The 14,269-nt window shown below is 33.5% G+C and overlaps 2 long non-coding RNA genes across 4 annotated transcripts in view, besides 1 other annotated feature; one reads left to right on the top strand and one right to left on the bottom strand.

Annotated features, from left to right (window-relative positions):
• Window positions 1-14,269, bottom strand: part of LINC02328 (long intergenic non-protein coding RNA 2328) — a 195,101-nt gene that overhangs the window by 62,012 nt on the left and 118,820 nt on the right. The gene's annotated exons all lie outside the window — the stretch shown is intronic.
• Window positions 3,957-4,126: an enhancer, noted in NCBI's record as "experimental_38386 CRE fragment used in MPRA reporter constructs". NCBI's record gives its function as "activates a minimal promoter by MPRAs in K562 erythroleukemia cells, with activity observed for both the introgressed and non-introgressed 14:86530070 variant alleles {active_cell/tissue: K562}" and the evidence as "EXISTENCE:reporter gene assay evidence [ECO:0000049][PMID:34662402]".
• Window positions 4,781-14,269, top strand: part of LINC02316 (long intergenic non-protein coding RNA 2316) — a 56,094-nt gene continuing 46,605 nt past the window's right edge. Inside the window, exons 1-4 of one of the 3 annotated variants that reach the window (NR_184189.1) lie at window positions 4,781-5,217; window positions 6,205-6,249; window positions 12,283-12,426; window positions 13,165-13,233. This is a non-coding gene — a long non-coding RNA (long intergenic non-protein coding RNA 2316). Of the gene's footprint in view, window positions 5,218-6,204; window positions 6,250-12,282; window positions 12,427-13,091; window positions 13,234-14,269 lie in introns of all 3 variants that reach the window. The other 2 variants (NR_184187.1, NR_184188.1) reach the window with 2 other exon arrangements.

Here is a 14,269-nt window from a genome sequence, read left to right as displayed (position 1 = left end):
ATTTTGTATGTTATATGCATTACTTACTGGAATTCCTTTAAATTTTTTAAAATAAATTAACTTATTTTTTTCCTTCTCTCTATACATACACACAAACATATGCACACACACACATATTCACACACACACACACACACCCTACTGGTGTTGTTCTCTAGGGAACACTAATACACTATCTTTCAGAGAAAAGCAAATGCTAAACTATTTATGTACCAAAACTCAATCCTTGATACGTGGTCTAAAATAAAGAAAATATTTGAAATTATAAGTTTCAGAAAATCCAAGATAACGTCTAAATAATTTGCCACTAGAAACAAGGAAAATATGTTCTCTGCAGACATGACTGGCCGAGGGCTTAATCCCAAAAACCTCCAGTTATGCTTCTATTGATATTTTGTTTCCTATAAAAGAAAAATAACGAATAAACAGAAACTGAAAAGTATTTTGTTCTGGCTCAATCCTTTGCTTACAGTTTCCATCATAGGTATGATTATCTATCTGTGAAAGATAAGGACCCATCTTGATGAAATTTCTTACAAAGTTGGCAACTTTATATTTTATCTTTTCCTGTTTGGTTTATCTTTCCCATTTCCTATAATATACATCATATTTTTTTCTGGCTGTGCACTTAACAGGCTTCCCAATTTTAATTTTTGTCTAGTGGGAGCAGTATGTTTTCTTGGTTTTGAGGTTGACACTCTTGTTGGATACTGACCATATGTTTTTACAATATATATTATACCAAGTTCCTGTTTTCTCAGTGCTTATTTTTATATGTAGGGGTTAACTAGAGTAAAATGAACAGATTAAATTATATTTCAGTCATAGCCTGGATTAATTTTCACTTAAATTTATTTCAAACTAAATGTTTCATCCCTATTCATCTTTATTCATTCAACTGTATCCCATGGATGCTCGCCATTTAAACACCTGGTAGTTTTCCCTTCTTGGCAGATTCTTGGACTCGTCCTAGCTTTTCAAATGTTTTAGTAGAATTAAGAACATTATTATTCTCAAAGGTGAGGAGGGCTTGGGGGAAATTTTAATGTAACTTATTTTCATTGCCAAAGATATGCTATGGGTTTAAGAGGTAAATTTCATAGCTACAACCCCCCACTCTGGGTTCCATACTTGTTATGAATGTGAATCTTCCCAGTGCCTTTGTGAGGACTTAGAAGGTGGAAGTGTCATAGAGTTATTAACAGAAAGCACCAATAAATAGCGGTGGCTTCAATGTCTGAATAATGCTTTCACTATAAACTAAGAAGTTTGGAAAACCCAAAAATATAATTCATGTAACACAACACTAACATTGCATTTTACTTTTCTTGTGTACACCCTGAATACATAGTTTAATAACTTAAAAATTATAAGTTGTATTCATATGTTATTTCCACAAAAAGTGACAGCATTTTGATATTTTTCCCATTCCATACTATGTTAATTTCTATCTGACTATGCTGTACTTTAGCATGGTATGATCAGATAGACCATGCTATATTTGGTAAAACTATTTTGTACAATTTAACAATTCATTCAATAAATTCTACTGCTAAACTGCAGTAATGATAGACTATCATCAATAATAATGATGGGTACAAAAACAGTAGTTAGAAAGAATGAATGAGATTTACTATTTGACAACACAACGGAATGACTATAGTCAATAATAATTTAATTGTACATGTTAAAATAACTAAAATCATATAATTGGATTGTTTGTAACACAAAGGATAAATGCATGAGGTGATGGATACCTCATTTGCCGTGATGTGATTATTATGCATTATATGCCTGTATCAAAATATCTCACATACCCCATGAATAATACACCTACTATGTAACCATAAAAATTAAAAATTAAAAAGATCAATAATGATGGAAAAAAAAACTACCAGCCTTCTCTCTGCATCACTGCAGTGACATGTCCTACATTCTAACAGAGCAGAATCCCCTATTAGAGGTAGGTTTTGCCACAATCTAGATTAGTTTTTTCTGGATAAAGATTTCACACCAAACAGAAAAAGACAAGAGCAAATCACAACAGGTTTTGCAAACAGCTCCTGCAACCACAAATGTAATATGTTCAATGTGGAAAGCACTGTTAATGATGCGTACATTTTCTCAACCACATCCACAAGTTAATCAAAACCACTGTCAGTGGCACTACTTTTGCAAATAAAGATCATACACATGTACATACACGTGACAAACTGTAGATGTAACACTCTGTAATACTGTATATTTAAATAAAGATTAAATATGTAAGAAAATTGGCCTAATTAAATAAATATGCACATGGGGAAATCAAGGTTACACTCTAAGGTCTGTACTTCTAACCGCTAACTGACACTGAAGAGAGCTAGCCTAAAAGAGATAATATCGTTTGGCAAAGCACTAAAATAGAGTCAAACTGTTTCCACAACACCATGAAAACACATTAATTTAGTGAGCTACAGGTCTATCAAACTTTGGCTTGGTACATGCATACAATAAATATTCTATGTCAATTTACGCTAAAGAAAAAATTTATTTGGCAAAATATAGACAAAACCTCTGTTTGAATTACTATACCTCATCCCATTTCCCATTTTAATTGATTTTTCAGCAAATTTTGTCCTCCTTGGAAGTACACTCTTAATTTACAGCACTTTTTTTTTAACTTTTAAGTTCAGGGCTGTAAGTGCAGGTTTGTTGCATAAGTAAACTTGTGTCATGGGGGTTTGTTGTACAGATTGTTTCATCATCCAGGTTTTAAGTCTATTTCCCATTGGTTGTTTTTCCTTATCCTCTCCCTCCTCCCACCCTTCACCCTCTGAAAGGCCCCAGTGTGTGTTGTTCCCCTCTATGTGTCCATGCATTCTCATCATTTAGCTCCCACTTATAACTGAGAGTGTGTATTTGGTTTTCTGTTCCTGTGTTAGTTTTCCAAGGAAAATGGCCTCCTGACCCATCCACATTCCTGAAAAGGACATGATCTCATTCTTTTTCATGGCTGCATAGTATTCCATGGTATGTATGTACCACATTTTCTTTATCCAGTTTATCATTGGTGGACATTTAGGTTGATTCCATGTCTGTGTACAGCACATTTCTTTAAGACAAAGTAAGTGATCAAGGATAACAAATATTTTATACATATAAATGTGTGTGTGTATATACATAAACAACAGTGATTTTTTAAAACTATAATATACTAGTACCAACTTACACACTTTGTGTTTCCACTAAAATTTGTTTCAAATTTAATTATGTGTATCTAAAATTTGTGTAATTTAAACAAATCATAACTAAAAATCATACACAAAGTATTATGTACAAAAAATATACGTTTGTGTCTGTGTACGCATATTCAAATATTTAACTTAAAGTACCGAACTGTTCATTAAAAATATATAGAAGATAAATTATCTTTACATTCAGTTTAAGAGTTTCCTAAAACTTTAAGTCAAGATGTTGAAATAACCGTTGAGAGTTATAATCATAAAACTGTATATGTAAATGGATTTCTACTTTTAAAATGTTTAAAAACTTCTTTTCTTGCTCACCATTGTCCATAATATTGAGCAAGGAAGAATATATTTTCCACATAACTCTGAGAATGCAATATTGAGCTTGTTTTCTATAGGCAGAGGAAGGTGGTGTCAATAGAGCCTATTAGATGGGGATGCTCTCATGTTTGATGTTAGCAGGTTGTTTTACCTTTAGTTTGGTTAAGGTTGATTTCTGAGCTGGAGGTAAGCAAAAAGGAAACTCACATCAAATAACACAGTTGGAATAAACTGAAGATATACTAGAGCTTGACTCATCCATGCCATGCCGTGAATTCAGATATAAACCATAAATTCAATTATTTTGTAAAGATATCACAAACTTTGTTTACATAGCTGAAAAGATGTGACTTAATAAAATCCAGTAAGTAGGAAAAGAAACATTCTTATAGTTTTAAATCTGTTACCACCATAATAGGGTCCTGGAATGTTAAGATGAACCCAAATTTTTTCAATCTTACTTTATTATTAGACTCATTTTTGTTTGTACAGATACGTAATTCTGAAATACTCCATAATTCTATAAAAATTTAAAAATATTCCTTTTCTTTCTCTCTGCCTTATAAATAGTATAATTATATAACTTCACATAAAAAACTGTGATAGTTCAGGTTCTTTGAGAAGCAGACTCCAAGGCTAGATTAAACACGCAGTGGTTTTGTTAGGGGAAAACCCCTGAGGAAGAAGATAGAAAAAGAGTCATGGAATAATAGGAGAGCTGTTGATCCACAGTATGAGTCTTACACCCAACTGAAGAAGATAGAAAAGGGGAGATGTTGTAAATATTCTGAACAGCTTGCAAAGTAAGGCAGTTTGGCAAAGTCATCAAAGGGTTCTTGAACCAAAGTCAACCAGCTCGGGAGTCCTGTTTGCTTCCAGAAGCAAACCTGTCTTGGTATCCCCATCCTGCTCAGTCCATTGCATGGAGAAGCCTATGGGAAATATAGGTTTTGGTCAGTGTGGCAATGGATTTTTTTTCCATGCAGCAGGAAGCAGCTAGAGCCGTTGTTCCATTACAGTCCCGTCAGTTGGAAGCTCGAAAGGAACATTTGCATGGTTGCCACAGATACGGTTCGCTAAAGAAAATATTCTTCAACCTTGATCTTATATGTGACAAACTAGAATCAATCCCTGAAATAAGAGTCAAGATCTAAACTGTAGATTCTAGAAGATGGAAGAAATCCAATTACACTGAAAAGCACATGAAATGATGTCACAATATGAATAACATGTCACTCTGCGTGGAGATCAGCCTAGTCTCACTCATGCCCTCTCCCTCTAGTGTGGGAAAACAAGAGGAACCTCCAAAATTTCCTAGCTGCACAAAGAAATTGGTGGAAATTCACTTCATTTTGAAGCTCGGGGTTTCTATGTGGTTGATTTAATCAAAATATTAATGTGATTTTTCTAGAAGAAGAAAAAGGGAAAATATAAAAATCATGCTGATTGGATTTGAATAGATTGTATTGATCATATATGAATATTATCTTTCATCCAGATTGGAAAGTACTGTTTTGAAATCCAGTCCTTCACACTTCCAAACTGATCATTTTTAATAAGTAAATGTCATTTTGGCTTTTTTTTTTTTTTTCTGGTCAGGAAGAAAAACAAGAAGTTTCCTTCCGCAAACTTCCTAAAAGGTGCCATGTGTTTTCCTAAAACCAAGGTGAGCTAACTCAATAAATTCTATTAAAAAAATTTCTTAGTACTGACTATTAATATAGAGCCCTAGAAAAGCATCTTTTGATATGTTTCTATAATATTTGCCTTGATCGTTTTTAAAGAAATAATAATATGAAGCTACCAAACCATGAGAAATTGATCTTCAATACTTTAATGTAATTAGTTCCTAATACCCTTTCTAGTTTCTCTGGATATTCTTACGTTTTGAAGCCAATTTAAAGCAATGTTTTAATTATTAAAACATGTAGCCTAATGGAAGTTCTTTAGCATTTTAGTGAAAACACCTAACAAATCCCTTTCACTCTCAATCTTCTGATGTCTGTATTTAATTTTCATCTTTCCACAAACCAGGCATGCATTTGCCACAGAGCCATGAAGTAAGATAATCACTGTTACACAGTAACACACATCCTGGACCTGCAATTTTGTGTCTCAGGAGAAAGAAATCAAATCTTCCTTCACAGACCTTTGAGGCAGCAGGCACTGGGTATCCACTGAGGATACCTAATACATTTCTCCAGTACATTTCCCTGTTTTTTCATTCATGTGCTATTTTATTCAGTAATAATAAGAAAAATACAGTACTTAGAGCCCGAGTTTTACAAACAGCGAAGCAGATACTGTTATTTTGTCAGATGATTAAGCTGTCTTTTAGGACTAGTTCAGGTATTTTCCAAGGCATCATAATTCCTTTGGTCACGAGGGTGTGACATATTTAGCTACATGTTACGTGGCAAAGTAGAAACAGAGCAGGATGAGTTTCTCAGAATGGACACATAATCTGGTTTGCAAACAACAGAGGATTTAATTCATTTCTTTCAACAACTGGTCAGGCTAAATTCAGTCTTTTGCTTCCTTCCTTTAAAAAATTTTGAGTCTAAATTTAGCTGGGTGCAGCATCAGAAGTCTATCCCACGTGCTAACATAGTTCAGTATTTGTTTCATTGTGTTTTGTTTTGCTTTATTTTAGGAAAATTCTAAAATAGAACTACCATATGATTCAGCAATCCCACTTGTAAGTATATATTCAAAGAAAATGCAATCAGTTTGTCAAAGAGGAAATTAAATCAGTATGTTGAAGAGATATCTGCATTGCCGTGTTCACTGCGGCATTATTTACAACAGCCAAGGTATAGAAATGACCTAAATGTCCACTGGCAGATATATGGATAAAGAAATTGTGGTATATTGATACAATGGGATATTATTCAGCCAAAATGAGGAAAGCCTGTCGTTTTCAATTATATGGATGAACTAGAGGACATCATGCTAAATGAAATAAGCCAGGCACAAAAAGACAAATACTGTATTTTCTCATTCATATTGTGGTATCTAAAAAATGTTGAACTCATAGAAGCAGAGAATAGAACAATGGCGTCCAGGGTTTGGACAGGGTGTGTGAAATGGGGAGATGATGGTTAAAAGGTAAAAACTTTCAATTCTGACATGAACCAGTTCTGGAAATCTAATGAACAACATGGGTATTGATGATAGCTGTGTTAATTTGACTGCAGTAATGAATACACAATCTATATGCATATAAAGACATCACATTGTACGTCCTAAATATATTCAATCTTTATTTTTCAAGTAAATATTTTAGAATTAAAAAAATAGAAATTATTTTATTGATTGACAAACGAATAGTTTCTAAGAGAGCTAGATTAAAATATACATCATACTAGCACTGGATAAGTGAATCAAGTCTTATGTTAACATTAGTTGACCAACATTATTTTCTAATAGGTTTATCAGAGAGGCATATATAGACATTGGATAATCTCATTGTTGTTCTCTTTCACTTAGATCAGAATCTCTTAACATTCAAATAATGACTGAAATGTGTGTATTTCAAGAAGTGGAAAATAAGTTACAACCTTTTGTCAGATTCTCAAAGAGATTCTTGACCAGAAAAGATTCTGAACCTCTGTGTAGAAGTAACATGTTTTTATCCAACATTGCACAATGGTTCTTGACTGTTCTTTAGAACTAATGTTCTTCATTTTGACTTGTACAAATTGTGGAAGTCCAGTAGGAGTATAGAGACAGACTTTGTAATATATTACAAGACATTTACAAGTTGAAAAAACTGCTTCAGTGAGTGAGCTACAGTGGTAGAATTCTAAGATGGCATTCCAATGTTCCAATCCCCAGGTTATTCAATAATATGACTCCAGGTATTGCTGTGAGGGGATTTTGAAGATGTAGTTAAAGCCCCAAAGTGGTTGACTTTTTACAATACGGAGAGCATTTGGTTGAGACTGATCTAATCACATGAGCCCTTTCAAAGCAGAATTTTCTCGGGCTAGTAGCAGAATGGGAATTGGAAATTTAAAGTGCAAGAAGGAACTAATGTGAAGAAGATTCTCCATTGCTGAGATGGAGTGGGGCACGTGGCAGGGATCTAAGAGTGGCCTCCAGAAGGTGAGAGTGGTCCCTGGTTGACAGCCAGGAATGCAGTGGATACCTTAGTCTACTACTGCAAGGAAATGAATTCTGCCAACAGCCTGAGTGACCTTGGAAGCATATCTTTCTCTAGTCAAGACTCCAGATAAGTACACATCTGGACAACACCGTATTTTCAGCTTTATAAGATCCTAAGTAGAGAGCCAAGTTAAAATTTGCTGGAATTCTGACCCAGGCAACTGTGAGATAATAAAATTTTGTCACTTTAAGTTGCTAAATTTATGGTAATTTGCTACATAGCAAAAGAAAAAGTTGCTAATAAATAACTTCAAATCTTTCATTTGTTTTCATGAAATCTGGATATCTATAGACCTAAATTTAAGAAATTTAGAGCTATTGATAGCTTAGTGGTTTTCTTCCTTGCCACAGGAAATATTATATCAGGCTAAAATAAAATAAGAAGATAAAAGAAAGGTGAATTACTAAGTTTTCTTTTGGTCATTTTCTATTTAAAACCAAGAGCAGTCTGGGGGAAAAAAAAGTCAGTTTCATTATCCTAATCTAAAGGATGAACAATTAAAGTTATTGGAAAGAGATCACCACTACAATTTCACTGTTTGTTTAATGACTTCTAGTAGTTTTTAATGTTTAAATTCTACTCTCTGAGCTCACATTCTCATTATACATTTGTTTTAAATATAACCAAATTATGATTATGAATTTATGTATGAAGTTTTTAAAACCATAAGAATAAATTTGGTTGCATCTTATAAATATAGATTTCCAAACACATCTAAAAGAAATTTATGATTCGGTGCTCAGAAAATACAGAAAAAAAATCTGTATTTTTCACATAACTGTAGGTGGTTCTTACAGACACAAATATTTGGGAAATTTTCCTTATAACTAACTATTGCAAACTTATTGGAAAAATCTGACCTGGTTATCTCTACTGCGTTGCATATAAAGGAAAGATTGCTGATGCTCAAAGGAAGTTCTCATCTTGCAGGGAGGAGAACATAGAAGCATTAATAGATATGCAAATATACCATGTAACATATGGTAACTTAAGAGCATAGCCAATGGGAATGAATATTGGAATCCATTTGGCTAAAGGCTTTACTTTACCACAGACCACTGTGGTCAAAGAAGATCTGCTTTATTCAGTGAACCATAAACCAGATTGTTTATAAAGCATGAAACCAAGAAATTCTGAAGTGCACTCACCAAAACAATGTTTCCAGATAGCTTCCAGATATCATAGGGCCTAACTGCAAAAGATGAAGTTTGCTTTTCAGCCTTTTTTTCTGTCAACTGCACCCATTGAGTGTTTTGTGCCTCACTCTTCTTCTGTTCCCACTTTTTCAGGCATTCAATAAATCTCTCTCAAAACCTTACTATTAAGAAATTTACCTGATAATCTCAAATTTTCACTCACTTTCCATAATAACATTTTATTTTAACATTCTAAAAATCTTCTTAATTCAGACAAAATATACAGAACTAGTTCTACATATAGAGATAATCTAATGCCTTAAGAATGAATTCTAGCAGGGTTTTCTTTCATATCTACAAACAGTTTCACAAAGAAGCATTTTTATAAGCCCAATTTCAAAACCATTTCATGAATAAGCTCTAGCATTTGATTTGGCTTTTTTTTAGAGCTCCTGTATATCCTATAAATTAATTAATAAGCTCTTATGGTAAACTTCTCAACAGCTAACCTATATCAGATATTCTTCAATAACACAGAAAAAGTATTTAATTTATTCTTATAAAAATAAATATCCACTTATTTACTTTGTGTTTATTTCAGCCCAAAGCACCATCTATAATGCATTTTTATGCTTAGAATTTCTTAGCTTTGGCCTGGCGCGGTGGCTCTTGCCTGTAATCTCAGCACTTAGGAGGCCGAGGAGGGTGGATCAACTGAAGTCAGGAGTTCAAGACCAACCTGGCCAACCCCCTCTCTACTTAAAATACGAAAACCTTAGCTGGGCGTGGTGGTGGGTGCCTGTAATCCCAGCTACTCAGGAAACTGAGGCAAGATAATTGCTTGAACCCAGGAGGTGGAGGTTGCAGTGAGCCGAGATCACGCCATTGCAGTCCAGCCTGGGCAACAAGAGTGAAACTTTGTCTCAAAAAAAAAAAAAAAAGAAAGAAAGAAAACAAAAAGAAAAAAGAAAAAAAGAATTCCTTAGCTTTTTTACATTGTTCTTAACGTTTAATATTAAAATTCTGTACATGTTTATGCGTTTTAAACATATGAGTTGTTAATCACACGTGTTACCAGACTCTGGAAAACCTTCCCTAAAAATTTTGAGTCAGTATGTACATTTTTACCCTTGTTTTATGAATGAAGAAAATAAGATTTCAAAGGGGTAAAAAAATTTCTCTAGGTCACAAGGCTAATCACCAGGGAAATTAGGATTTGAATAAAATCAGTCTCATATAGAAATCAATGCTTATTTTTAATGCCACAATAATTCCAGTTGAGTCAAACTTCTGTCTGTAATTGTAACTATACATAGCACAAACCTCAATTAAAAATGTTTGTCAAACATGCAAATATAAATTATGAATATTCAAACAAATATAAATGATGAATAGCTTAAATTACTTTGTACACACACATATAAATCCAAAAATACTGCGTATGTAAACTTTTTAAATACACAAATATTTCAGGGCAATAGATGATAGCTGGTACCATCCCAACCAGAGTAATGTTTTATTGACAATATGCACTCATAAATGCAAAGTTATTTTAATTATGCAAATGAATTCCAACAAAATAAACCTAATACATTAATAAACCTCCTTCACCTTTCTTATCAGTAGAATTAAGTTTTATTTCTAACAATGCCCACTAGGGGATGCTGGCGCATTGACACTAGAAAGCGGAAGACATTGGCTGTCCTGTCAGGTCAACTAAAATACTGACAGTGAACCCCCCTTTGCAGTAATTTATTTTTGTAGATAGTTTTTAGAGAATAGAAGCCATTCACACATATTGGCACAGAATGACAGTCCCACAAAAAAATTGGAGTTTTAAGCCAACTGAATTTTTTTGCATTTTAATAATATTTTTAATAAAAGTACTTGGATTCCTGTAAAGCAGATTTGGATAAAACCATTTAGATGTCCAATACTTTTGATCAAGAGTTACTGTTTAAGTGAGAACACATGGAGACAGGGAGGGGAACATCACACACCAGGGCCCGTCGGGGGGTGGGAGGAAAGGGGAGGGAGAGCATTAGGACAGATGCCTAATGCTTGTGGGGCTCAAAACCTAGATGTGACGGGTTGATGGGTGCAGCAAACCACCATGGCACATATATACCTATGTAACAAACCTGCATGTTCTGTACATATATCCCAGAACTTAAAGTAAAATAAAAAATGAAAAATGAAGAGTTATTGTTTATGGAAACATGACATAACTATTCAACTATTAGTAAGTTTTATATTAAATAGCACAAAAACAAACAGGCTTATGTGCTAAATTATCTATATATAATTTATACATAAATCACTATTGTAGCTATTTTGGAACCTGAATTCACTATTGTCTGCAATCAAAGGGGAAAATATATAGGAATTACTTTTAATCAAATAAAATACTAAGTAAAAATATGAAATACTACTTAATGTCATTGATTGTCAATAAGTTATTTTATATGTAATTAAATCATTTCTATCTGAGGAAAATGCTCAAAGTAACTCAGTAAAACACTATGTACAACAAGTTAAGTATTTTTTAATAAAAAAACAAGATAAAAATGAGCTGAATTTCATCATGGAGTTCTTAAGGGAAAAAGTCGAAGAATTTTTTAGGAGCACATAATTTTGTTGCATAATGTCAACCCCAAATGAGCTTGGGATTGTCCCCAAATGTTTATGTAATTGAATTACATTAAATTTTTCACTCAAGCTCATTCTTCCATTATAGGTCCAAACGTTTATTAACCTTTTTTAAAAAAATTAGTGTTATTACCTTTATTTATTCACAATTGTCTCTTTCAAGTTTAAAGCGAGCCTCATCATATTAATAATCAAGCATTTAATGAGGACATTTGCATTCACTCAATTCAGATCCCTCAAATCTCGTAGACTTTAATCATATCTTTTATCTTTCATTTTTCCAGATGAGTCATATGAAATATTTAACCTTGTTATCATATGCAAATTCCTTGAGTCTATTGATGTGGCAATCTATTGACATACATCTATTAAGTGCCTGATTTGCCAGTAACACTATGCCAGGAGTTTACAGGCATAGAAACGTAATAAATTGCTCTGTGTCTTAGCCTTTTCCTGTCTCACCTCTTTTCAACTTGAGGTTTTAGGTGCAAGCTTCTTCCAACCACTGAGCCATCCTCAATCAAACCTGGCAGTACATTACACAATCTTATCCTCACCAGCAGATGGGGCTTATCATGAAACTCACTGTCTTATATCAGGATATAGTACCAACTCTGTCCTTGTTTTAGTTGATCTGCCAATAGCTCTTGATAGTGCTCTTTCTATTCCACAAAATACATACCTTTTTTTTTTCTTATGGATTTCAAAACTCTACGATCTTTTCTCCTAGCTCAGGAGCTACTTCCCAATGTCCCTTGTTTTTGTCATTTTCCTCTAGCTCTAAATCTCCAGAATCTCCAGGGATTGGAACCAAGTGCTTTATCTTTACCATATACCAATCCATGAATCAACTCCAAAACAGATCTCTAGAAACAGACAAGACTGACTACTGCCTGAAGGTTTCTGACACCAAGTTCCTGAGGTGGGTCAATTAATTTTGGAGCACAGAATATATTGCACCTTATGTTTGTAACTATTGATCATCTTTTGTAAGAAAGCCTCCTTTAAAGCTGAGCTCTTGCTCTAACTCCTTTGGGTCCTCACTTTTTCCTCTATTCTCTAATTTTTAGCCTGGTATTAGAGTCTTCAGGTAACTTTCAACCAAGTCCACACGCTTTAAAAAAATATTTTCAGGTATAATTAAAGTACAATAAACTGCACATATTGAAACTGTACAATTTAATCAATTTTAGCATATGCATACAACCTTGAAACCATCACTGCTATCAAGATAATAAGCATTTTCATCACCCAAGATGTTTCCTCTTGACACTGTTCTTACAGAAATTATAATCTCATAATAAAGAATAAATGTGTTTTATAATATGAGAGACATCATTGCATGAAAAGCAGTAAAGGGAGATAAATAATGGTATAGATGATAAATGATATAAAAATATATAGGAGAGAGAAATTACTGAGGGGAGGATAATTGGAAAAGGCTTCATCATTACCTATCCAATGTATTTTCTTACATTATTTTTCTATCTGAATGTTTGTTATTGGCATTACTACTTTGTGCTTTTTTCAGATATTGATATAAAATACTCAATGCATTTTATGTTTGGATTCTTTTTGGCTTTACAGAGGAATACATTCTCTTCTCCTTTGGCTGCTTAATCCCTTCTCATGAAAAATAACCTTGACCTTTGCATTCTAGATGTACCAAATATGAAATAATTTTAGAATTCGATCTCAAATGGCCCTTTTGCAAACTCCAAAATGTTGTGTAAGTCCATTTTCTCTTTTGCATTATTCTCACAAACATACTAAAACGTGATTTGATGTCTTCTATTTATATTAGTGGTTCAAACAGTTTTAAGCATACGAATTATTTTTCTTCTTATTTTTTAGAACATCCTCTTAGGTAGTGCTTCTTCTGTTACCAGTGACATAAATGATCTTTTGTATCATATAACTTAAAGGTTAAAGGGTCAGCTGACTTTTGGTGACATTAGATTATAAATTCAGGTGATGTCATTGGACTCTCTTTACTCAAGTCTCATCTCTGCTTTCCTTGCATTTAGGGTTGTCAGATAAAATAATGTCTCCTTAAATTTAAATTTCAGAGAGACAATAAAGAATGTTTAATATAAGTGTATCACATACATTCCATGGGACATGCTATGTTTAGTCTTGCTGTTGTCATTTTTTTTCCCTGTAAATCGACACAAATATCAAATTGTTCTCAGGTGGACTTTCTTCAGCTGTCCACTCTTACCAAAATCTCTAAATTTATGCCCCGCAGATTAGTCACTAAAGAGAAAAGTGAGTGTCTTTTTTCTTAAAGTCTCCAATTGGGTCTTATTGGAACAAATTGAGTAATAGTCCTCAAACAATTGCTATGACCTAAGAGATAAAATATACTCATTTGTTAGGTCTGGATCATACAAGGCAGAAGGCATGAATGTGTCAGCTTCACCAAACCATATACACTGAGAGTCATTGAGAGGCTACTGCCAGAAAGAAAAACAAGGTTCAGTGGGGAAATGTATATTAGACAACAAAAAGCAAAATATGACTAGCGGAGAACTTTCTTAATATGGCTCTACTTTTAATATCCTTGATTCATAATAATAATAAATCTAATATAAATTCAGGTATATTTTAAAGTGATGTGCATTTTATCAGCCGCAGCTAATTCACTCTTTATATTGTATTGAACATTAATAAATATCAACAGCTCAATGTGTGGGCAGCATGGATTAACAGGCACCTTGCAGTAATTGTGTGGCAAAGAGAGCAGTTGAATTTCTGTCAGGAAA

Source organism: Homo sapiens, chromosome 14 (assembly GCF_000001405.40).
Source record: "Homo sapiens chromosome 14, GRCh38.p14 Primary Assembly".
Taxonomy (NCBI): domain Eukaryota; kingdom Metazoa; phylum Chordata; class Mammalia; order Primates; family Hominidae; genus Homo; species Homo sapiens.
Note: the sequence above shows the minus strand (reverse complement) of the source record. Positions and strands in the feature narration are given on the sequence as shown.